This window comes from Homo sapiens, chromosome 7 (genome assembly GCF_000001405.40).
Source record: "Homo sapiens chromosome 7, GRCh38.p14 Primary Assembly".
Lineage (NCBI taxonomy): Eukaryota > Metazoa > Chordata > Mammalia > Primates > Hominidae > Homo > Homo sapiens.
In genome coordinates, this window is record NC_000007.14 from 157,954,499 (window position 1) to 157,978,120 (window position 23,622).

At 47.4% G+C, this 23,622-nt stretch overlaps 1 protein-coding gene across 10 annotated transcripts in view, besides 2 other annotated features; it reads right to left on the bottom strand.

Annotated features, from left to right (window-relative positions):
• The window catches only part of PTPRN2 (protein tyrosine phosphatase receptor type N2), a 1,048,768-nt gene that overhangs the window by 415,443 nt on the left and 609,703 nt on the right, over window positions 1–23,622 (bottom strand). The gene's annotated exons all lie outside the window — the stretch shown is intronic.
• Window positions 983–1,591: an enhancer, noted in NCBI's record as "OCT4-NANOG-H3K4me1 hESC enhancer chr7:157748173-157748781 (GRCh37/hg19 assembly coordinates)". NCBI's record gives its function as "activates a minimal SCP1, AML or CMV promoter by ChIP-STARR-seq in naive H9 embryonic stem cells {active_cell/tissue: H9 hESC(naive)}" and the evidence as "EXISTENCE:reporter gene assay evidence [ECO:0000049][PMID:30033119]".
• Window positions 16,131–16,337: a silencer, noted in NCBI's record as "fragment chr7:157763321-157763527 (GRCh37/hg19 assembly coordinates)". NCBI's record gives its function as "represses an EF-1alpha promoter that drives an FKBP-Casp9 reporter gene in an ReSE screen in K562 erythroleukemia cells {active_cell/tissue: K562}" and the evidence as "EXISTENCE:reporter gene assay evidence [ECO:0000049][PMID:32094911]".

Below are 23,622 nucleotides of genomic sequence, written 5' to 3' on the forward strand. Positions count from 1 at the left end.
TGTGTGTGGTGTGTGTGTGTGGTGCACGTGTGCTGTGTGGTGTGTGTAGTCTCTGCATGTGTGTCTATGTGGGTGGTGCCTGTGTACTGTGTGTGGTGTGTGTGTGTGGTGTGGGTTGTGGTGCCTGTGTGAGAGGAGTGGTCTCAGCCGGGGTGATATTAAGGCCTGCAGTACAGCTCCAGACCCCAGAGCGAGGCCCCGCCTCCCTGCCGAGCCCCAGAAACCCCCTTTTCAGGGGTGGAAGTGGGGGTGGCCTCTCCCATGCAGTTGAGTGTCCTGGGAGGGAAAGCACAGAAGTTCTTTCTGGTATCTTTAGAACCAAATCAGGTGAGGTGTTTAAGTATCTCATATGTTTTTTGGTCATCATTTCTATTTACTCCTGCAAAATTATTTTTTAAGATAAATTAAAAGAATAATAAACCGAAATACTAGACTTAAAATTTAAAAATTTAGAAATTGCTGGCAATCTTTTTGTTTTTACAAAATGCCACTTCCTAGTTTGTTTCTGGGTAGTGTGGGAGTGAAGCGGGTGGGGTGGAGGGTGCTGGGCCAGTGTGCCTCTCACCGTCCCCAAGGAGCCCCCTGGAGATGCAGTCCAGAAAGACGGATCCACCGGCCATCCCAGGTACCAGGAGCAGCACACACGAATGCTGGATTTGTGCCTCACACTAAAAAGCAGCTTGGTGTAGCTGCGAATTTTCTATCCAGGCACATCTCTTCACTGCTGATTAAGCTACCTCTTTTTGCCAAACATACTCTATATTTGTGCTGGATCACAGGTAATTTGGTGGAGAAAAGCAATTCCAAGGAACACAGGGGAGGGTACCATCATGTTTGTGATGCATGGAATTCCTTGCAGCTGGGAGACCTATCTAGAATGCTGAGCCGGGCTCACATCCCCCTGGGTGGGAGCTATTTCTAGGTCTCATCAGCAGCCAGGGGAGGGCTTACCAGTAATTTTTAAGCCATTTCAACTTCTCTGAAGGCAAAACCTGGGAAAGCACCGCAGGCCCATCACAGATCCCCTGAGAGAAGCAACTCCTCAATTCTGCACCTGCGTCTGCTTCCAGACAGCACACAGCAGGAGGGTTATCCAAGCATTTGAAGAAATGCTCTCCAGGATCAACTCTCTTCTTCAGACAACTCCCAACCATTGTGGTTTTAAGTGGCAGGGCACAGCTCAGAAGAGAAAGACAAGGAGGGCAAGGCGGCACCGCAGCTCAGCCCCGCAGGGTGCTAGGGCGGACACCCTGCGGGGTTTGCCTGGGCTCTGCATTCCCATCCCTTCATTAGCCCAGGGGTGTGGAACAGTTTGCACCCAGCTCTGGGTCTTCATACGTGGAGGTCAGGAGAGTCTCAAATAGTGCATCTGAGAAAACCCCCAAATTGGTGCGATTTCCAATAATACGTAGCCTTTGCATATTTCTAAAGAGAGTCAGAGGTTGGAAGGAACCCAGGAGACCAAGGGAGAAACCCGCACATTCTGACAGGTGCGTTTTCTCATCAGGATGTCAGCTGCTGGGACACTGCCCCAGGCCATTCGTGTGCTGCTGAAACTAGGATGTGTTTCTCTTGTGTTTGGATGAGATTTTATTCTTCCTACGTGCTGGCATTTAGTACACTGTTGTTTATGGCTGTTTGATGAGAAAAGCCTAGGGACGGCTGGTTTAAGGTAAGAACATTCACAGTGTGTTATCTGCATGCCCAGGGCTGTGAGGGAGCAGAAGACACAGGGTTGGCTCCCTGACGTGTTGGAGACAGCAAGAGACGTGGAGCACATCTGGAGGGGGAGGCTGGGCTGCTGCTGTAGCCGTGATCGCTCCGGTCCACATCTGGGTTCATTTGGTGTGTGGACACAGGTGTCTACCGAGAGGGTTTTACCTAAGTTAGACTAAACAAGGCTGCGAGCCAGTCCCAGTCTGTGACTCTACCAGAAGAGGCTGGGTCCCTGGCTGAAGAAATGCTGAAAAATCCTCAGACACAAATGAATCTGTTCGACTCAATGTGCACTCAACAATTGACTGGCTATCCCTAGCCCTCTTTGGGTCTACCAGTTGCTATTTCTTGCGTGGGCATCAGCCTGCACACAGTGAACAAAAGCAGCTGGTTCAGAGCTGCCAGTGCTCCCCAGGGGAAGGACTGACAGAGTGATGCCAAGACAGGGCTGCCCTCCTCCCTAGGGAATGTCCAATCCATGCATGGCCACCAGAATCAAGGGCCCACAGAGGAATCAAGTTTCAGGGGTCATGGTGGGAACCTCACTTTCCCAGAGGATAAACTGTTACACAGAAGGCCTGACTGCTTTTGGTTTCTTAGCCTGTGAGTTGGAATTCATTTGTGTGACTAATTCATGTTTGGAATTTACAAAAAGAAGTTGTTTCAATTGCCACCAAGTAAAGGGTTCATTTAAATCTGCAACCTTGCTAGAATGCCTGGCTCATGCCACTATGAAAACCTGCATCTGAGCCCATTCTGTTTTGAATGGTGGACACCTAGAGAGTAAGAAGGAAAAGGGAAGGAAAGGTCCTACCCAACATCAGAACCACATGAGCGAATGGCCACTTGGGAAATGGAAATACATTTGACCTCCATGGCTCAGAGAGGTTCAGAAGGGTTAATAAACAGCTCAAGCACTTGCACCTGAGAGCCCACTGTTACTCTAGAGCAGGGGACAAGAGTCACCCAAGGTGACTATAAGTCCCCACAAATTCATCTGATGTGCACTTCCCAGAATCTGCAGCACCCTGTACCAACCCCCATCCCCTCTCCACAGCAACAGTGCATCCTAACTGTGAGCTTAGGAGACACGTATTTTTGGCATCTAGGACTTAAGTATTAATCCCTGGGGGGGTGAATTCCATAAATTAAGGAGGGGTACAGTAAGAGGATGAGATGTTTAAAGAGAAGCATATCCATGGAATCAAAATGCGATCAGAGCATTATGGCCAAATAATCCCTAAGAAAAACACTGATGGTACACACAACAGATACAAGATTCAAAATAAATCATCAATTAATACTTTTAAATAGTATTATTGTATTCTTTTTATTTATCTATTACTATTAATAATTATTATTTGATGGTACAAAGTGAAAAGGATTATAAGTGAGTGTGATGAGCATTTGCACACCTACAAACAGGATAACACAAGAAATGGGAAAATTCCTAGAAATACGCAACCTACTGAGACTGAGTCATGAAGAACTAGAAAACCGACCCCACCAGGAGTGAGTAAGGAGACTGAAACCGTAGTCAAAAACCTCCCAAAGAAAATCCTGCAGTCACTGGTTTGATGGATAAATTTTACCAAACATTTAAAGAAGGATTAGCACCACTCCTCCTCAAACTTTTCCAAAATATTGAAGAGGAAACAATTTCTAACTAATCCTGTGAGTCCAGCATTACTCTGACACGAAAGCCAGACAGACACTACAAGCAAACAAAACTAAGAACCAGTATCCCTTATAAATACTGATGCAAAAAATCTTCGACAAAATACTAGTAGACAAAATTCGGAAGTTCAGAAGCATATTAAAACGATTGCTGTACCATGACCAAGTGGGATGTATTCCTAGAATGCAAGAATGGTTCAACACATAAAAAATAATAAACGCAATACACCCCACTAACAGAATGAAGGAAAGGACCCATATCATCATCTCAACTGATCCAGAAAAAGCATCTGACAAAATTCAACCCTCTTTCATGATAAAAACGCTCAACAAACTAGGAGTAACAGAAAATCACCTCAACATAATAAAGGCCATATATGAAAAATCTGCAGCTAATGTAACACTCCAGGGTAAAAGATGGAAGACTTTTCCTTTAAGACTAGGAACAATATGAGGAGGCCTGCTTTCACCACTGTTATTCAAGACAGTATTGGAGGTGCCAGCCACAGGAATTAGGCAAGAAAAATAAGTAAAAGGCATCTAAATGAGAAAAGAAGACATAAAATTGTTTCTGTTCACTTATGATATGATCCTATAGGTAGAAAATCATAAAGATTTTACACAAGAGATCTGTTAGAACTTAATAGAATTTATTAACAAATTTAGTAAAGTTGCAGGGTATAAAATCAATATACAGAAATCATTTGTACTTCTATACACTAAAATAAACAATGCCAAAAGGACATTTAAAAAGCAATTCCATGTACAATAGCATCGAAAGAATAAAATATTTAGGGTAGGCTTAACTAAGGAGGTGAAGGACATGTACACTGAAAACTACAAAGTGTTGTTAAATGAAAGAAGACACAAATAAGTGGAAAGACATCCCATCTTCACGTATTATAAGGCTCATTATTGTTAGCTTTTAATACTACCCAAAGTGATCTACAGATTCAACATAATCTCTACCAAAAATATTGATATTTTTTCAGAGATAGAACAACCCATCCAAAAATTTATATGGAATCTCATGGGAACCCAAACAACCAAAGCAGTCTTAAAGAAAACTGGAAGACTTGCTGATTTAAACTTACAACAAAGCTATAGTAATCAAAACAGCATGGTCCTGGCAGAAAGGCAGACATATAGACCAATGGACTATAAAACGGAGCCCAGAAGTAAACCCTTTTGTGTACAAATGCTTTTTGACAATTGTGCCAAGACCATTCAATGAGGAAAAGAATAGGCTTTTCAACAAATGGTTCTCAGACAACTTGCAAAAGAATAAAGCTGGACCTGTAACTTACATCATATACAAAACTTAAAACTGATCAAATATCTGAATTTACAAGATGAAACTATAAAGCTCTAGGAAGACTTAGGGGGAAGCTTCATGACACTGGATTTGGCACTGATTTCTCAGTATGACACTAAAGGCACAGGCAACAAAGAAAAATAAACAAATTGCACTTTATTGCACTTTATCAAAATTAAAACCTTCTGTGTATTAAAAAACATTATCTAAACAGTTAAAAAGTAACCCAAAGAATGAGAGAAAACATTTGAAAATTACATATCTGATTAGGAGTATCTAGAACATATGTAAGACTCCTACACCCAACAACAAAGAAGCAAGGATTGGAATAGACATTTCTCCAAAGACGACGTGCAGATGGAGAGTGAGCCCATGGTGAGCTGTTCAACATCACCAGCCATTAGGCAAAAGCAAACAGGAGCCATGAGATGCCACTTCACACTCCTCAGGACGGCCATCCTCAGAAAACCAGAAAACAAGGGCTCATGAGGGTGTAAAGAGACTGAAACTCGTGTGTACTCCTAGTGGGAATGTAAAATGGTTCAGCCACACTGGGAAATAGCTTGAGAATTCCTCAAAAAATTAAACATAGAATTACCATTTGACCCCACAATTCCACGTGAGGTAAACACTCAAGTAATGCAAAAGCAGGAACTTGAATGGATATTTCTACACTGACATGTATAGCAGCACTATTCCCAACAGCCAGAAGGTGGAAGCAAGCTGAGTGCCCATCAGGGGAAGAACAGATAAAAAACATGTGGTCTATACACGGCGGGGTATTATTCAGCCCTAAAAGTGAAGGACATTCATCCAAGCTACAACACGGGTAAACCTTGAGGATATTATGTTAAGGGAAATGAGTTGTATATATAAGAGGACAAATATTATGATCCCACTTCTCTGAGGTCCCTAGGGTCATCAGATCCATAAAGACAGAAAGTGGAACGGTGGGTACCAGGGGCCGGGGGAGGGGTTGAGGAGTTCTTGTTTAGTGAATACAGAGTTTCAGTTTGAGAAAATGAACAAGTTTTGGAGATGGATGGTGGAGATGGTTGCATGACACTGTGAATGTACTTAATGCCACTGAATTGTACAGGTGAAAATAGTTAAAATGGTAAATTTTACTTTATGTATATTTTACCATAACAAAAACATCATTGCAAAAGAAGCATGGGAAGAATCATAATCAGGTGCTGTTTTAAACTGTAAATCAATAAAACCTTTCTGAAAAAGGAGTTGGGTGGCACATGTCAAGAACAGATAAAATATAGATACATTTTAACCATCTAATTTCAATTTTAAAAATACATCTTTAATTCTTTCCATTTAAAAAATGTGCAGTAAACATTAGATATAGAAATAAAAGCTCTAAGAATAGGGAAATAGCTAAGTAAATATATTTTCATGGATGAAAAATTATTCATCCGTTAAAATGATATTACAAATGTTGAAAAGACCAAGATATTTTTATGATACAATGATAAATGAAAAACAAAAACAAAAACAAAAAAACATGGTCAGGCATGGTGGCTTACGCCTGTAATCCCAGCACTCTGGGAGGCTGAGGCGGGTGGATCACCTGAGGTCAGAAGTTCGAGACCAGCCTGGCCAACACAGCAAAACCCCGTCTCTACTAAAAATACAAAAATCAGCCAGGCATGGTGATGGGCGCCTGTAATCCCAGCTACTCTGGAGGCTGAGGCAGGAGAATCACTTGAACACAGGACGGGGAGGTTGCAGTGAGCCAAGAACATGCCACTGCACTCCAGCCTGGGTGACAGAGCGAGACTCCGTCTCAAAAACAAAAACAAAACAAAACCAAAACAAAACAAAAAACAAGCAAAAACCAAAACCATGGAAGTGAAATTCTCAATTATATTAAAATATGTATCTGTAACACTCTTGAAGGAAATATGCCAAAATATTCACAGTAGTTATAGTTTATTAGAGAGATTATGAAGAAATATTTTTCTTTCCTCTTTTGATTTTTTCCAAAAATTTCACAATGGCACACAATATAGATATTAAGAATTATTATAAGGTCAGGCGTGGTAGCTCATGCCTGTAATCCCAGCACGTCGGGAGGCTGTGGCAGGTGGATCACTTGAGGCCAGGAGTTCGAGACCAGCCTGGCCAACAGGGTGAAGACCCATCTCTACTGAAAATCAAAAAAATTAGCTGGGCATGGTGGTACACACCTGTAATCCCAGCTACATGGAAGGCTGAGGCAGGAGAATTGCTTGAACCCGGGAGGTGGAGGTTGCAGTGAGTTGAGATTGTGCCACTGCACTCCAGCCTGGATGACAGAGACAGACTCTGTCTCAAAAAAAAAAAAAATTATAAAAAGTCGATTAAAACAACAACAATTTTAAAAAGAGGGCAGGAAAGTGGTCTAGTGCCCAAGAGACCTGTCTCAGCATTAAAGCATCCATTTAATAACGGTGTAATCTTGGCTTTGTTATTTAGTTTCTCTATTCTTCAGTTTCCTGATTTGTAAAATGAAATTTTCAGGTGACTGCCTTTCAGCACTCACACTCGAAGGCACTTAGTAAATTCGGCACTCATATTCTAAGGCACTAAACACATGTGTCTACTTATGGGAGCCCGAACATGAGCCTCTGTCAGGTTTATGGAGGATGAGTTCCAGTGGGAAAGAGGCTTCCTGAGTCACAGTGAGCCCAGGAGACCCGGCGGCGGCCGCACCGGGACCCGGGGTGTGTGGAGACCCGGCGGCCACACCTGGACCCGGGGTGTGTGGGAGGCTCTGGAAGAGCCACTCTGTGTCCCACCCTCTCACTTTCCCTCCTGCTGAAGAGGCCTCAGTGCCCGGCGGGTGCACACAAGCGGCGCAGTCCCTACTCTGGCGGGAAACACAGGATGTGAAAGTATTTTATGAAACAGTTTCAGTGAAGAAGAAAGTGGGTCATTTTCTAATTTGAAAAATCCAGAGTCTTCTATTTTTCTTTGAAATTTAAGGAGAAGCAAAGTGCTTTTAAAATGTTTGCGTATTAGCATAAACGATTACAAATATTTGTGTGTTTCCTGGTCGATGAAAACACGCCGCTGCCAGCAGGATGAGATCCGAATGTGAATGGCCACACTTCAGCAGGAGTGTTATTCCACCAGCGGGAGCGTTATTCCCCCAGCGGGAGCGTTATTCCCCTTCCCGTTTCCTGTTCCTTGGTGTTGACTTTAATGCATATGTTCAGATACACAGAGGAATAGAATTGTCAAACTCGGTCACCAGCAGGTCTCTCATTATTAGAGGACACCCTGATCCAGGACAGCAGACCAAGGGTGCTTAGTTTTTACACTATTTAATACACAGATTATTTTCATCAATGTTAAGACTACAGCTTCCTGAAGTCAGACCCCAGGCCTTTTATTGGTACCTACACACCCGGGGTCAGGTGCAGCCTGCACATGGCAGGTACTTGAGGAACACCTGTGGACAAGCTGGAAGAGTCCGGTGGGAAGGGTTTTCAGTGACAAGCATAGGAAGGGTTCGTGACACCTGTTCCTATTACAGACATGGGGAGGTTCAAAGTGAACCAGTCAGGAATAATCTCAGCCTCACCCCAGAAGGAATTTACAAATGAGGACCATATATGGCATGGACTAGAGGGTCATATCAACCCACAGACTGTGGCATTCTTGGTTCCATTCCCCACTATTTGGATAACCTTGAGCAAGGTAGTCTTTGAGCCCTGAAATGGTGAGGAACATGCCCTTAGCCATGGGATGCTGGCAGGTCATTGATACTGTCCTATCTATGAACGGGGTTTTCCTGTCTTTAAATGGGGTGATGAGGCCACCTCGCAAGGCAGCATGCAGAGAAGCAAGTCCACACGGCAGACACTCAGCCAGCGCAGCGCCCAGCACAGACGTGCTCAGCAGACGCACACTCTCAGCTCTGACAGCCACGGTGCAAGTCAGATGCAAGCCTGCAGGCTGAGCCGGGCAGTCTCCTGGCCTCAGGTGGACCTGCAGTCAGAGACAGTCCCTCCCTTCTGCGGCATCCTTTCCTTCCTGTGTGCACGCTGTAGAATAGCGGGCTGGGGGTGTTTAAGACCAGAAGCAGAAAACTGACAACTTTGTTGCCTGGAAAAAATAAGGTGGACAATACTGGAACTAATGGCAGAAACAAGGTTTTGGAGCAATCTACAATTTATTGAAAGCAGCCCTGAGTCCCAGGACTAAAATAACTAAGAATTGGTTTGGTTTTATTATTTCTTGTTAAGCACCATGTCTGAGGTTAAGACCCAGTTCTTAAAAGTAATCACATAGATACGTGTTACACACATCAGTTCAGTTGCTAACCAGCCCATCAGCTTGGATGTAATTACTTCACACGTTCTCTGAGAATGTGTTCCACACATAAAGAATTTCCATAATGGCCAGGCAGCCTTGAGTGGAAACAGGCCACAGTTCGGGCCTGGGAGAGAAGTCTGCAGGGGGGAGATCTGTGGTCATGCCCTCACCCCATCCCCAGGGCAGACGATGCCGCTTCTCAGTGAGGTCCCCTTGGCTTCCTGTCACAGCACCTCGGTGCTAGTCCACCCGGGAGATGCCAGAACAGGGCTAACTCGTTCATCTTTCCAGTCCAATGGCCGGGGTTGCTACATTTCTCAAACTTAATTTCTATCATTAAATCCTTTTGTTTTGTTTTATTTTTGGACAGACGAGTTCTCCCTATGTTGCTCAGGCTGGTCTCAAACTCCTGGCCTTGGCCTCCCAAAGTGCTGGGATTTATAGGTATGAGCCACTGCACCCAGTCATTAAGTCCTAATTACATGTTATTTGCCCTGTTCAAGTTCAAGCAGTATTTTTTTTAATAAAGATTATTCCCAATAGATCTTAGTCTTCATCTGTAAGAGGCTGTTGAGGGCACGACCACCTCGCAGTGACCTCCCTCTGTGTGGGACCCCCGTTCCCACTGGCACACCATGGGGACAGCTGGGTGGGGTAGTGTTGAGTTCTGGTCCTGGTCCCACCGACCTGGGCTGGAGCTCCCAGATGCTCCACACACCCACGTCTACAGAAACACTAGGCCAGACTGGGGTCCGCCCCACACGCACAGAGGATCACTGGGGGCGATGTAGAGATGTGGAAGCTGGACCCCACCCCCCAGGCTAATTCATCAGCAAGATGTTGGCAACTGCTGGGCTGGATGGTTATTAGCATATTAGGATGACATTTGACCCTAACATTCCAGTTTTGTGCTACCAAAAAAAAAAAAATCACCTGAATGAGTCAAGACAGTTAAACTTGAGGGTGATTTGGGAATGAGGGGAATTCATCCATTTGAGGTTAAATGTTTGCCAATCTAATTTGGTCAAAACAGTTCATCCACAACCCCGTGCAGGCCACAACACAGGAGCAGGTGCAGCAGGGCCCTTGAGTCTGTCTCACGCCATTAACACCCTGTGATGGCCTTACTTGGCGTGTGGAGCTGTGACCACCAGGGCCAACCTGAGGCAGCATCATGGACTTGACCGACTCACCTCAGAGCTTGGCACTGGGTGCTCTGATTCCCTTCCTCAAGCTTCCCACTTGAAGGTTGGTGTGAAACCCCACCCCACTCAACCCTGGCTGATCCCCATGGCCTGTTCTTTCGACGATCCTCCTCTTGCCCCAATTTCTCCACCGCACAGACTCGCCAGGGCTTTGGTTTGTGAGTGCCCTGCACTCTGTCAGTTGGGCCATGGTATAATTTATGTTCAACAGAGACCTTTGGGAGTGAGTGTCAGTGCCGTAGCGGAACACAGGGATCTGAGGCACAAGGCAGGGCTGTCCCAGGCAAACAGGGACACCGGCCCCTTCATCAGTAGGTGACATGCTTTCATTCAATAGGAAATTCCAGAACACCAAGAAAGGGATCTCCAGACAGGGACCTGAAAACAGGATATGGAGGTAGATTTGTGGGAGAGAGTTGGAAAGGGAGCTAGCACTCTTTGAGTACCCACTTTGTGCTAAATACTTAGTTTTTGACTCCATATGTATGAAGATTACCATATTTCATCAATTTCAAGACGAACCCTTTTTCACAGTGTAACCCCTCTGAAGTCAAGATGCCTCTTATGAACACTGGCAAGAGAGTTTAGCTGGAGCATAGCCCTTTCCTGATAGCACATAAAGAGACGGTGCCCCTCACCAGGGTTCCTGGCTTGGACTGGACAGACGACAGCACCGCAAGCATCTCACCATCGAGAGACTGAGCCTTCCCAACACCATTTGGCATTCCCAGCTTACACAGCTGAGGGGGTGAAGCAAGGTTCAAATCAAAGTCAGCACTAATAAAAATTTCTAGGTTTCCAACCCTACACACCCATTTGGGTCCCACTCAAACATCACCACAGGGTGGCTCTCCCCAGTCACCCCTCAGGCCTGGCCCAGTGCCATGAGAACTGGGACCTCAGGAGGGTCAGAGCCCCAGCAGGTTCCAGCTCTCAGATCAAGGTGTTCTTTTCTTATCATCTTCTTTCTTCTCTTTCCCCTCTCCTAAATCACTGCTCACTCTCTGCCCCACACCCAACTCAACATTTAGATGCTCAGATAGCATTTCAGAGTCTTATTTTATGACTTTCTGAAGAATTGTGCTGCTTCAAAAATAAGAGCCCCCTCATTACCAAAAACTTAACCCAAAAGTGCACTTCCCAAAATGCCTCCAAATAAGTGTGGGAAATCCAGGAAGCCCTCGAGAGCCACTGAACGCCTCTGTGCCCAGCACTTTGACCAGCACCGTGGAATCAGCTTCCCAAAGCATGCATGGGGCACTGGAATCCCAGTTTCACAGACACAGAGACACAGAAAGCTTGATTCACAGGCAGGTGCCAGGAGAACTGCAGTTTTATCCCTGTAAAGTCTAATTCCAACAGGAGTACTCAGCCACATTGAACTTCTTCTCACTAAGAAAAGTTATCTCGGTGGCCTATAAACTCTTTGGAAATTGCTTTGAAAACATGTTCTAGGCTGGTGTTTTATTATTTATGAAGCAACACTGCTGTCCTGGTTTAACTGCCTTCCTGTGAAAGAAAAGGCTTCCTGTTTTGTTTCCTGAGACTCCTCTTTCTCCTTCATGTCATCACCATCACCACCATCATCTTCATTACCACCATCATCTTCACCACCACCATCATTTTCATTATCAACATCTTCATCACCATCATTACCATCATCTTCATCACTATCACCATCATCGCCATCTTTATCATCACCTTTATCTTTATTATCACCATCAACATCTTCATCACCATCATCATCTTTATCATCACAATCCCCATTATCACCATCATCACCATCATCTTCATCACCACCATCATCTTCATTATCACCATCACAATTATCACTATCATCATCACCATCATCTTCATCATTACCATCACTACTATCACCATCACCATCATCATCTTTATGATCACCATTATCTTCATTATCACCATCAACATCTTCATCACCATCATCATCTTTATCATCACAATCCCCATCATCTTCATCACCACCATCATCTTCATCACCACCATCGTCTTCATTATCACCATTACCATTATCACCATCACAATGATCACTATCATCACCATCATCTTCATCACCACCATCATCTTCATTATCACCATCACCATTATCACCATCATCACAATGGTCACTATCATCAGCACCATCACTGTCATCACCATCATCATCACCATCATCTTCATCACCACTCTCATCATCATTTTTAAAAAGGATTGCATTCTAAAAAGTTCTGTGTTTGAAAGTATATTTGTTTTCTTTGGCTGCTGTTGTAACAAATCACCACAAACTTAGTGGCTTAAAAAACCCACAGGCTGGCTGGGTGCAGTGGCTCATGCCCATAATCCCAACACTTTGTGAGGCTGAGACAGGAGGATTGCTTGAGACCAGGAGTTTGAGAACCACCTGGGCAACATATTGAGATCCTATCTCTATTAAATTTTTTTTAAAAATTAGCCAGATGTGGTGGCTCACACTTACAGTCCCAGCTACTTGGGAGGACCCCTTAAGCCTAGGAGGTCGAGGCTGCAGTGCACTGTGATTGTGCCACTGCACTCCAGCCTGGGCGACAGAGTGAGACCCTATCTCTTCAGAACAAACAGACAAACTTATTGTTCTGCAGGTTAGAAGTCCAGCCCGGGTCTCACTGGGCTGAAGTCAAGGTGTCGGCTGAGCTGCACTCCTTTCTGAATGCGGATGACGGTAAATGGGATGGAAGGTGCAGGTAGAGACTCTGTGTGGCAGGTTCTATCTCATTTACGTGGCTGGGAGTTGTAAATGCCATGAGTTTCTTCTGTTTGTTGGACCGTAAAGCAATGGAGGAGTGGGTGAAATCTGACTGTGGGCTGAGAGGGCTGTGTGTCCCCGTCCTCACTCAGAGGCAGACAAATACTCCATGACATGGGGAAAAGGAGAACGATGCTGACCCATTCCACAAGTCATCAACTCGCACAAGTTATGTATGTGCAGTTTACTGAGAGTCAGTCATACCTAAAAAGAGAAAAACTCAACAAACAGGAGGGTGGACATTGAAAAGTATCTGGCTGACCCTCTGTGAGTGAAGATGTATTTACCTTGGGATGAATGATCAGGAAAAATAAAGGCTGAATCCAGGGAGAAGGGGTCTGGGCAGCCACAAAGCTATGGGACACAAGTCCATGGAGGTCCAATGAGCTCATCTCATGCACGGTTCTCTTTTTGTGATGAACACCAGTGTGACCAGTGTAAATACAATATTAGTTGGATCATTTGTTAGTAACATACCTTTGGACACTGGCTTCATTCTTCAGTATCTTCCCTTTATAGACTTGGCTTTCTGGGAGCTGGATGTTTACCCAGTACCACCTAGCACTAGTAAATTACTACAGCGGAGGGCAGGGGAGGACCCACTACTCCAGGATCATTTGTGGGGGTGGCACCTGACTCAATATTAAAAAAATTCACATGGTGTTTTATGGTTTACAAGGCAGCCTTGAACATCTGACACCATGTAACAAGCGGTAACTGTGAGAAGTGGGGATACAGGACCAGGCCTTCTCTCCAAACCTTGAGGTTACCTTTCCTAGGAATGCAGAGCTTTCAGAATGGTGTCCATTCCACTCACTGCATTTCAGCCTCTGTGGCCTTGGGCAGCACCTGTGATGCCTGTGCTGACTGGCATCGTCTGCAGTAAGTGAGGAGGGCACAGAGCCTTCCATCAATCTGTTCAGGGCATGATTTGCTGCAAAGTGAGTTGTGAAAACTTTCGGTTTTCAAGAGTTTCTGGGTCTCGGGGTTGTGTGAATGGATGTGAACCAGCCTCCTTCTGTTTTTCCAGGGGATCTAACAAGGCTCGAACGCTGGAGCCGCATGTCTGCGACCACTCAGCAGGTGCCGGCTGGGGCTGGGCTCCTCAGACCTGAAACACTGACTTCTCTATTTGGCACATCTCCAGGGTCATCCTTGCAGATGAAGAATCCAGCCTGGGTGTCTCCTGACCCATCATACAGCCTAGAAGGGTTTGTGTTTTGTTTTTTCCAAGTAAATTCCTGCTATCATTTTACTTATTTTATTGCTGTGTGTAGAGTGAAGAAGATGCTGAAAAAAAAGAGTGAGAGAAAAAAATCCCGTTGATCCTGGTAGATGGGATATATGGGAACTAATTTTATATCCATGCATGAGTTAAAACGAGCAGTAGGCACATTTCCCATGGGCGATGGAAGTGACCTCTGTCGGCTCAGTGGAAGGTGCCGAAGAAACAGCAAGAGACCTCCTTGTCCAGGTAGCCACAAAGGAATTTCCTTTTGAAATGTATACTCGTTGAAATTTTTAATCCAGGATAAATTATGAGAGTCTGTACTGCACATGTCAGATGCTGCACATGAAGGGTTAACATCTTGCAATATCCATGGCATCAATGTTTCCTTTTTTTTTTCATCTTGCTCTGTCACTCAGGCTGGAGTGCAATGGTACAACCATAGCTCACTGCAGCCACCACTTCCCAGGCTAAAGCGATCTGCCTGCCTCAACCTCCCAGGTAGCTGGGACCACAGGTGCATACCACCATGCCCAGCTTATTTCTGTATTCTTTGTAGAGACGGGATCTCACCATGTTGCCCAGGCTGGTCTCAAACTCCTAAGCTCAAGTGATCCACCCACCTCAGCCTCCCAATGTGCTGGGATTACAGGCATGAGCCACTGTGCCTGGCTGCCAGTATTTCCTCTTTGCACACATCCTGCACTTGTCAGTGGCCACTTGCCCACCTCTGATTTCTCAAGTGAAATCATCATGAGAAGGGCATGAGTGGGGAGCTGGGAGGTGGTGGCAGGCTGGGTGCTGCCTGGGTTTCATCAGAACCTCCTGAGGTGGGGGCCAGGGGTAGCCATGGAGTTGGGAGTTGTGGAGGAGGCGAGATGCTTGGAAGGAAGCTGTGGACAGGGTCTGAATGGGGGTGGCTGAGCCTGAAGCTGGAGTTGAGTCCTGGTGGGAGCAGAAACCTTGGGCACCTGGGAGTTTGGCTTAGACAGATTGGGCTGTGCATGGTGGAGAAAGGCCCAAGCAGAAAAGCTCCTGAACAGGCCTGGAGCTTGCACAGGAGAAAGGCTGGAGTCACAGACCTGGATGTTGACTCTCCTGATCTCCTAAGGGAGAGAGGAGAGGAAGAAATGAACGGAGGGTCTTGGGGGAAATTCCCCAAGAAATAAGTGAGTAGCAAAAACAAACACTGCCAGACTCCTGAGGCCAACGGGATCCCTGAAGGTGCAGGGACTTAACACAGCCACCAAGAAAATGCAGGTGAGAGGATGAGTCCAGGAAAAACATCACTGGGCTGGCCTGGGGAAATTGGTGGCCCTGGCAAGGAAGTTGCAGAGGCTCAGTTCCAGGAACACACAGGGAAAGGTAAAAGACATTTGTTTCCCACAGGGCCAGGGCTCTACCAGCTCAGTTTTGTATTAGACACTGGGGCCACACTGTTGGAAATAATAATTTAGGGATAACTGCACAATATACTTGCCACCTTTGCCCTATGAACTCCCCAAGAGCTCAGGACACACATTGAGAAACACCAGCACACAAGTACCCAAGGTCATCTGCAGGCAAATAGAAAGCATCGTGGAAGCAATGCTCATTAGACCCACACACTGTCCCAGGTGCTCTGCTCAGCAGAACCGGGGGACAGAGACAGCATCCCAACTAGCAGGGAGGTGACAATCCCAGGGGAAGAAAGAAGGGGAAAGTCTCTATTCCAGCACAAGGGTCTGAAGTCATGAAAATAGAGCAGAGCAGGGAGTGAAGCTGTGCCAGAGCCACGCTGATGGCGTCCTCACCATTGGTGCGGGTGGGTGGCCAGATGCAGCTGCGCAGATGGCAGGGGCATGTTTCCTCCTCTCACTGTAACTGGCAGCAGTGTGCTTCATTGTCACGCTCAGAGCGGACCCCCCCCCCCACAGGTTGCCCACCCCAGGGCAAGACCTAGATCCTGGTGAGCCTTGGTGGGACCTGTGCCCAGCACAACACACATGGACAGCCCAGCAGGGGTAGCTGTGCAGCCAGTGGAGTGGCTTCTGTGCCCAGCATGCCCTCTCTGGGGCTCATTCTCGTGTTTCCTACCCTAATTCTAAGCTCATTCTTCAGAGCTCACAGTGCCCCTGACACTCCCTGGTCCCCCTCTCTGCCCAGTGACCAAAGCTGGCTTGTCCCTGCACGCACGAGGCACCACTCCATCACATGACTTCCATCTGCCTGGCAAATCTGCACCATTTTTGGAAGCAGCTGAAATCCCATTTACCCAGTAAAGTCAGCTGAAATAATCCTAGAGAAAGTTCACCACCTCTTCCTCTGCCTGTGCCTCTATCACAGATTTAATAACACACCCTTGTAATTCATCTTGCTTATGTGGGTGTTTTCTCCATGAGTTCTTCAAGAAAAGAGCTGGATTCTGTTCATCTTTGTTCTTACCCCTGAGTATCCAACTCAGAGCTTTGTACATACTAAATATTTGTACTTGTACTGAATATTTTTTGGAATGAATAAATGCATTTTTGAAGCATCAGACCTTCAATAAAAAAGGTTATTTTTTTCTTATCCATCACGAATCCGTATTTGAAGATTTCTGGAAGAAAAATGAATCAGAAAATTCAGAATATCCAGGTGAGTCTGGGGATATTCCACCCCAGTGCAGCATAGACACACCTCAGGACAGAGAAATTGAAGTTGGTGGGGTTTCTTAAAGCTCTTGCTGTAATGAGCGCCACTTGGAAGTAATGGCTTAATCGTTATTAATTTCTTTGGTATTTCCTATGATAACATTAATCACAGCAAACTCATTTGATGTAATGGAGACCAGGAACCCCCCTGGAACGTTCCCCAGCAATTCCGTGCTAATTAACTGAAGCATCTTGTAAAACTGCCACCCTGTTTTACGATTAAGTGCATTTCTTGCACACTTTGATTAAGACACAAATCCCAAGCCAATAAAAAAAAAAGTGGGAAAGAAAGAAAGAAAAAAAACCCACCGTTTTAGAATGCAGTAATGAGAGCATTGGTAAAGTAACAGAGACTTCACTGCCAGAGGCGACAATAGCTACTACTTGAAGTGAAGCAAAAAGAACTCCCCAGGGATGGTGTAGACTGAGAAACCTTCTTCTGTACCTTAATTTATCCACTGCATATGTACAGAAGCAATTTTAAAATGCATATTAAACACTCCAGTGAAAGAAAAGAGAATAATTCACAAAGATGTCAGTTCTGCATACCCAAGTGAGAACTATGAAAGCAGAGAGTCCTATGCAAACTTATATCAAGGTATGGAAAACACCTTTTACCACTTAAGGTAAATGTTCAATTTCCAGAGGGCAAATCGTGCGCTGCCTCATTCAGCAGCAGAATTTTTCTCCCCAATGATTGGCATTTGGCTATCAAGGCAGAAGAAAATGGAGCATATCACAAGATTGCACAGCTTGGAAGTGTAAAAGGCGTTCACTAGAACAGGTTCTCTGGCACCCAGCATGCCAAGGTCCTAACGAAAATCGTGTCAAAACTCACGTCAGTCATTCTGTGTTTTTTCTCCACTGGTTCAAATGCACATCATTCTAAGGATGACAGACACATGCAGAGGCACCTGGAATGAGGCAAATGGGACCTCGGGTCTTAAAGGATGAAACCAGAGCACATGGGCATTAACCTGCTGACTGACAGCAGCTCAGGACGAGAGAATGCCTATGTCACCCAAGAGAAGGGGGTCCAGGCCCTGTGGGAGAGACCACAGGAACTCCACACCACGAGAGCAGGGCTTCAGAGACCACGGGAACTCCACACCACGAGAGCAGGGCTTCAGAGACCACGGGAACTCCACACCACGAGAGCAGGGCTTCAGAGACCACGGGAACTCCACACCACGAGAGCAGGGCTTCAGAGACCACGGGAACTCCACACCACGAGAGCAGGGCTTCAGAGACCACGGGAACTCCACACCACGAGAGCAGGGCTTCAGAGACCACGGGCACTCCACACCACGAGAGCAGGGCTTCAGAGACCACGGGCACTCCACACCACGAGAGCAGGGCTTCAGAGACCATGGGAACTCCACACCATGAGAACAGGGCTTCAGAGACCGCAGAAACTCCACACCACGAGAACAGGGCTTCAGAGACCGCAGAAACTCCACACCACGAGAACAGGGCTTCAGAGACCAGAGTAACTCCACACCGTGAGAACAGGGCTTCAGAGACCACAGGAACTCCACACCACGAGAGCAGGCTTCAGAGACCGTAGGAATTCACACCACGAGAACAGGACTTCAGAGACTGCAGGAACTCCACACCACAAGAACAGGCTTCAGAGACCTCAGGAATTCCACACTGTGATAGCAGGGCCCCACTGAAGCCAGGGGTGACATAAGCCTGCACTCTGGGCTGCAGCGGCCTCACTGGCCTGCAGGAGAGGCCCCATGAGATGCCCTGGAGCAGCAGTGGGTGGGAGGAGGTTGTGCAGGGGCCTTCGAGGGATGAAGCAGCTTTGCTGGCAGTTTTGGGGAAGACAGCCCTACTTGGCCTGCCTTTAGTTCATGGGCTGATAGGACAGACACAGGATTTAAAGGCCAAATAGAACCACATAAAACCTGCAGATGTAAAATAACAAATAGCATGCTGTGGGGAGGAATGGGGAAAGGGTGGGGGGAAATAACAGGGGGTAGGCTCTTCAATATTTAAAAGTTCCAGACATCCACAGACTTCTTATGTCATTTTCCTGATGGGAGGGAAATGAATTTCCAATATTTATATACACCATTTAAATAATTTTGCTAAATAATCAGAGGTCTTAGAGAAAGATGTGCATAGAGCCAAACAAGCTGTCTACATGAGACACAGCCACAGCCGGGTGGGGCTTACCCTGTAAAGAATATCCTTCTGCACAGCAGAGGATGGCCTCACTGGATTAGATGGCTCTCCTTGAATCAAAGCCCTAATTTTCAGGTAATGGCCAAGATATAAGATGTAAAGCACTGTTGTAAGATTTTTAAAATCTGTACTATTTTTTGTAATGGCAATGTAAAATTTAAAAAGATGAAAGCATAGCAACAAAGATAAAATAAATAGCATGCTTTTAGAAGACCACGCGGCATGGAAAGCAGTCTCTAGCGCTGTCTTTCTTCCGTTAGGGTGGACTGGAACCACAGGGTATGAAAAGTGGCCTCTCGCGCTGTCCTCCTTCTGTTGGGGGGACTGGAAACACATTTCTCCATTCATTGTCAGTGGTGTTACAAGCCATTGGTGAGCTTCCTTCCAGAGTGAATGCCAAATGATACATTTATATTAGATCTCTCTGACCACTGCTGTTGACGTTGGCGGGGTAGCAGGTGTGGCCATAACATGGAGCACAGGCTGAGCTGCCTGACTTGCACTGCTGGACGGTGGGTTGGCGGTGTTGACGCTGCACAGGTCATGAGCGCCGGCCCTGCGGATCCGGCGATGATCATTGTGGAAAGAATGGACAGCACCCTGGTTGATGTGCAGAGTGACCCTGCAGTCAAGTCTGTTTGCCTCCCACTAGCATTTTCTCATCTCCAGCACGGTGTCAATGGTGCCACTCCAGCCGGGCCACCCTGCCCACAAGGTCTTCCACGGGGCTCCTCCCCAGCTCACGGGGAAATCCCCTTTAATTTCAAACAGGGCCCTTCCACCTGCCCTTGATTCCCTGTGGCACCTTGGGAGCATGGGGCTGCCCTACTGTGGAGTTAGTGGGTCCACTTCGAGAAGACAGAGACAGAGTGAAGCCTCAAGAACAGTGTTCACTGGCAGTGGGAACCGTCGGTCCTGCCATGGGACGATGTGACTGGGGGCTCGTCCATGCCTTGTCGTGGACATCTCTGGTCTCAGCCGGCAGGGGTGGGTGGGACCTCAGACCTCAGCGGGTGATGGCAGTGGGAGCCTGGGCAGGGGCGGGCAGGGCTCTGTGGTAAGACACAGAGGGCAGGGGCTGGGGTGGGCAGGGCTCCATGGGAAGACACAGGTAGCGGGTCAGGTGCTGGGGAGGTGTTGCTGGGCATGGTGGATTTGCAAATTTCCAGGGCGGTGGGGGGTCTGGCAAGTGTAGACACAGGGCAGAAGTGGGCGCAGTGTCTGTGGGTGAAGAGCTGTGCGGGCGGGCACTGAGAAGAGGTGCCCACGTCCATCCCCAGCCCCTCAGGCATGTTCACCATCATGGCGCACATGTCTGGGAGTGAGCAGAGGACCAGGGTATGGAACAAGCCCTAGTCAGAAATGCCTCCTGACGCCTGTGACCTCTGGGCAGGGCTAGTGAGGGGCTGGGGAGAGCAGAGGGTGTTTCTGGATAAGAACTCACACTAAAGGCCTGGCCCGGACCCTGCCTCCATCAGCAGGGTGCAGCCCAGGCCCAGCACATTCTCCTCCTCCTGGGACCTCGATCTTGGCTTCCCCTAGGCCTTTCTGGGGCCCCCCAGTTCCTGCCAACACTGCTGTCCACGCTGGGGCCCTCCAGTTCCTGCCAACACTGCTGTCCACTCTCTTGTCCACCCCATGATTCCAACCACTGGATCCGAGCATCTGCACCCTGTATCCGTTTCTCTAACCCAGATTTCCTTCAAGTTTCAATCCTGTACTTTCGGATAAGGACTGGATGCCAGCCCCTGTCTCCTCATGTCTGAGAGCCTCTCCATCTCCAGACACCCCAATCTCCTCGTCCCTGTGATGTCGGCTCAGGTCACCATTGTGTCCTCTTGCTCTCCTGGGTCAGGCACCTAGGAGTCCCTGAATGCAGGCAAATCATTCCTCAGCTGTCAGCTATTCATATTCCCACGGCCCCACGAGGAGACGTGCTTCATTCTACACAAACTTGGGCGAGCTCCCTAGACCCGAACTGTGCTTTTCAGTGAGTGTCACAGATGTCACATGGGTGTCAGATTCAAGGATGAGGCCAGCCCTTGGTGCCAGGCTTGGCATAAATCAGCCCCACCAGCCCCTGCCTGCCCTCCGTGTCTGGTATTCATGTTCAAAGGAGTCTAAAACCTCACTGTCTTTTCCATGTGAATTTACCTTTTTTTTTTTCCATTGCATGTCCTTTAAATAACCACCAGGTACCTACTGTGTGCCCTGGGCACTGGGGATGCAGAGGGTCCCAACCACAATGCCTGTCTGCAGGAGTTCCCAGGGTGGAGGTCCAGCTGCTCTGAGCCTGGTCCAAGGACAGCCACAAACTAGAGATAGGCTTTGGACAAAGCAGTGTGGCCGAGGTGGGGTGTTGTACCCCATGCGATGTGGAGAGAGGGAACTTCTGTCGAGGATGGCAGAGCAGAGCTGGGCAGCAGCCCAGCACAGGGCCCTCCCTCACCTGAGTGCTCACCATCCAAGTCCTTGTAGCACAAGGTGAGCTGGAAGCAAAAGCCACCCCAGCTCAGATGTCCTGGTGAAACGCCGGGAAAGGGGCCTCAGCCAGGGCCATGGCAGCTTAGGGCTGGTTCCCATCGCGTTATCAGCAAACGAATCTTCCCAGAATCAAGCTCTGATCTTTCTTCTCTGATGTGAGGTGCTCGGCGATTCCCAGGAGGCGCTGATGAGTTGCTCAGCCTGGCAGCCGAGTTCCAGCAGAGTTGAGACCCAGCGGCTCCTCTGGCTGTTCCTGTGTTGGGCATTCTCCTGCTCCTAGCACCGGCTGGCACTCTCCTCTGTGGCCTCTGTTCTCTTTATTGTTCAGTTATGAGGCTTCTTCCTCAGTTCCATGGGTTAAAATCCAGATGCAAGCCCCCCCCACCAATTACCCCTTCATTCTACAGAGTTCCCAGGTTCTCGCCCACTCTGCCCAGCACCTTACTGGAGCCTCCACCATGAGGCCTCCCGTGCTGCCTCCTGGGATAGTCACGCATGTGCCTGTGCGGCTGCCCTACCAGACCCTGGGGCCTCCAAGATCGCAAACTGGTCCATCCCTCTCCCTGCCTCCAGCGTCTGCCGACCATGCTTGCACGTAGCCGTGGACTTGTGCCGCAGATTGGGGTAAATAATCCTAGAGCAGATAACTAAGGTACACTCTTCAAACTGTAATTCATCACAAAACTAAGTAATATTTTGTTTTTAAATGTACCTAAGCCCATGTTGTCTTGTTGATATTAAACTGTGGGGGTATAGAGGTGTGGTAGCATTTTACTAAGTCACAGAGGATATAAACACTTCTGCTTAAGCTCCCAAATCGTCAAAGCCAGGCATAGTGGAAGAGAAGTTGAATCAAATCGAAGTTTATTAACAAAGATAGCTGTCATGCCAGGAATCGTTATAGATTTCGTCAAATTTCAGAGGTATATGTAATTATGAAAAGCCATAAACACAGTAGTTTCCATGAAAAACTATGAGTAGGTATGGAAAATAAAACAGATGCAAGGGTAGGAACCACAGCTAATAGTCCATGAATCTAATAATTAGTTAACTGATTAACGAAATGCATATTCATTAAGCACACCTGTAGAGAGCCTATTGCGTACAGGTGCCGTTCCAGCACCGGGGACTCCCTGGTGTGACCCACAGGTAGGGTGGCTGTGCCCCATGAAGCTTGCATGGAACTCACCATCTGTGGTGGCACTGATCCAAATTCAATGAACAAGGTGATTTCTGATCAGGGCTCTGAGCTCTGCGTCAAGTGGGAGGGGTTAATGTGCTCTGGAGTGACAGGGGTGGGAGGGGTTTATCAGAGATCTGGGAGCCAGGAAAGGTCTCCTGAGGGGATACTCAAGCTGATGCCTGAATGCCAAGAGCCACCTGGGCAAATGTGGGATTGTGCCTGGCAGGTGGAGGGCCCAGAGCGTGCAAGGCCCCAGGTGGGATGACGTGAGTGTGTTCATGGAGTAGTGTACAAGGCCCCAGGTGGGATGACGTGAGAAGGCCCCAGGTGGGATGACGTGAGTGTGTTCATGGAGTAGTGTACAAGGCCCCAGGTGGGATGAATTGAGCATGTTCAGGGAGCAGAGAGAATGCTGCTCTGTCCAGTACCTGTGAGCAGGGGAGGTGGGGGCGGGAGGAAGTGAGAGGTAGGATCTGGTACCATCTCGAGAGGCTGCAGCAGGGACACTTGAAGATCTAGTGACACCTAAGAGCTCCCTGTTGCTGCTGCTGGGGGAGCAGGAAGGGGGATCACCCTGACAAGACTGGTGGCAGCTGGGACAAGAGTCGTGGCTGAGGAGGAGGGAAGGAGGTCAGCTTCCCGATGTGTCTGTGGGCCGGCAGGACTCACCGCCGCAGGCAGCAGGCTCAGGCACCTTTGGTAACTAGGCCCACAACAGATCCTGAACTCCCTGTACGTCGCATGCACATCTACAGACTAAATACCAAGGAGTTTTCTAAAAAGGCCAATGACAGGTCAGGTGGACCTGAATTGTTACCACTAATTAGGATAAAAGAGGTTTACAGATGCCTTG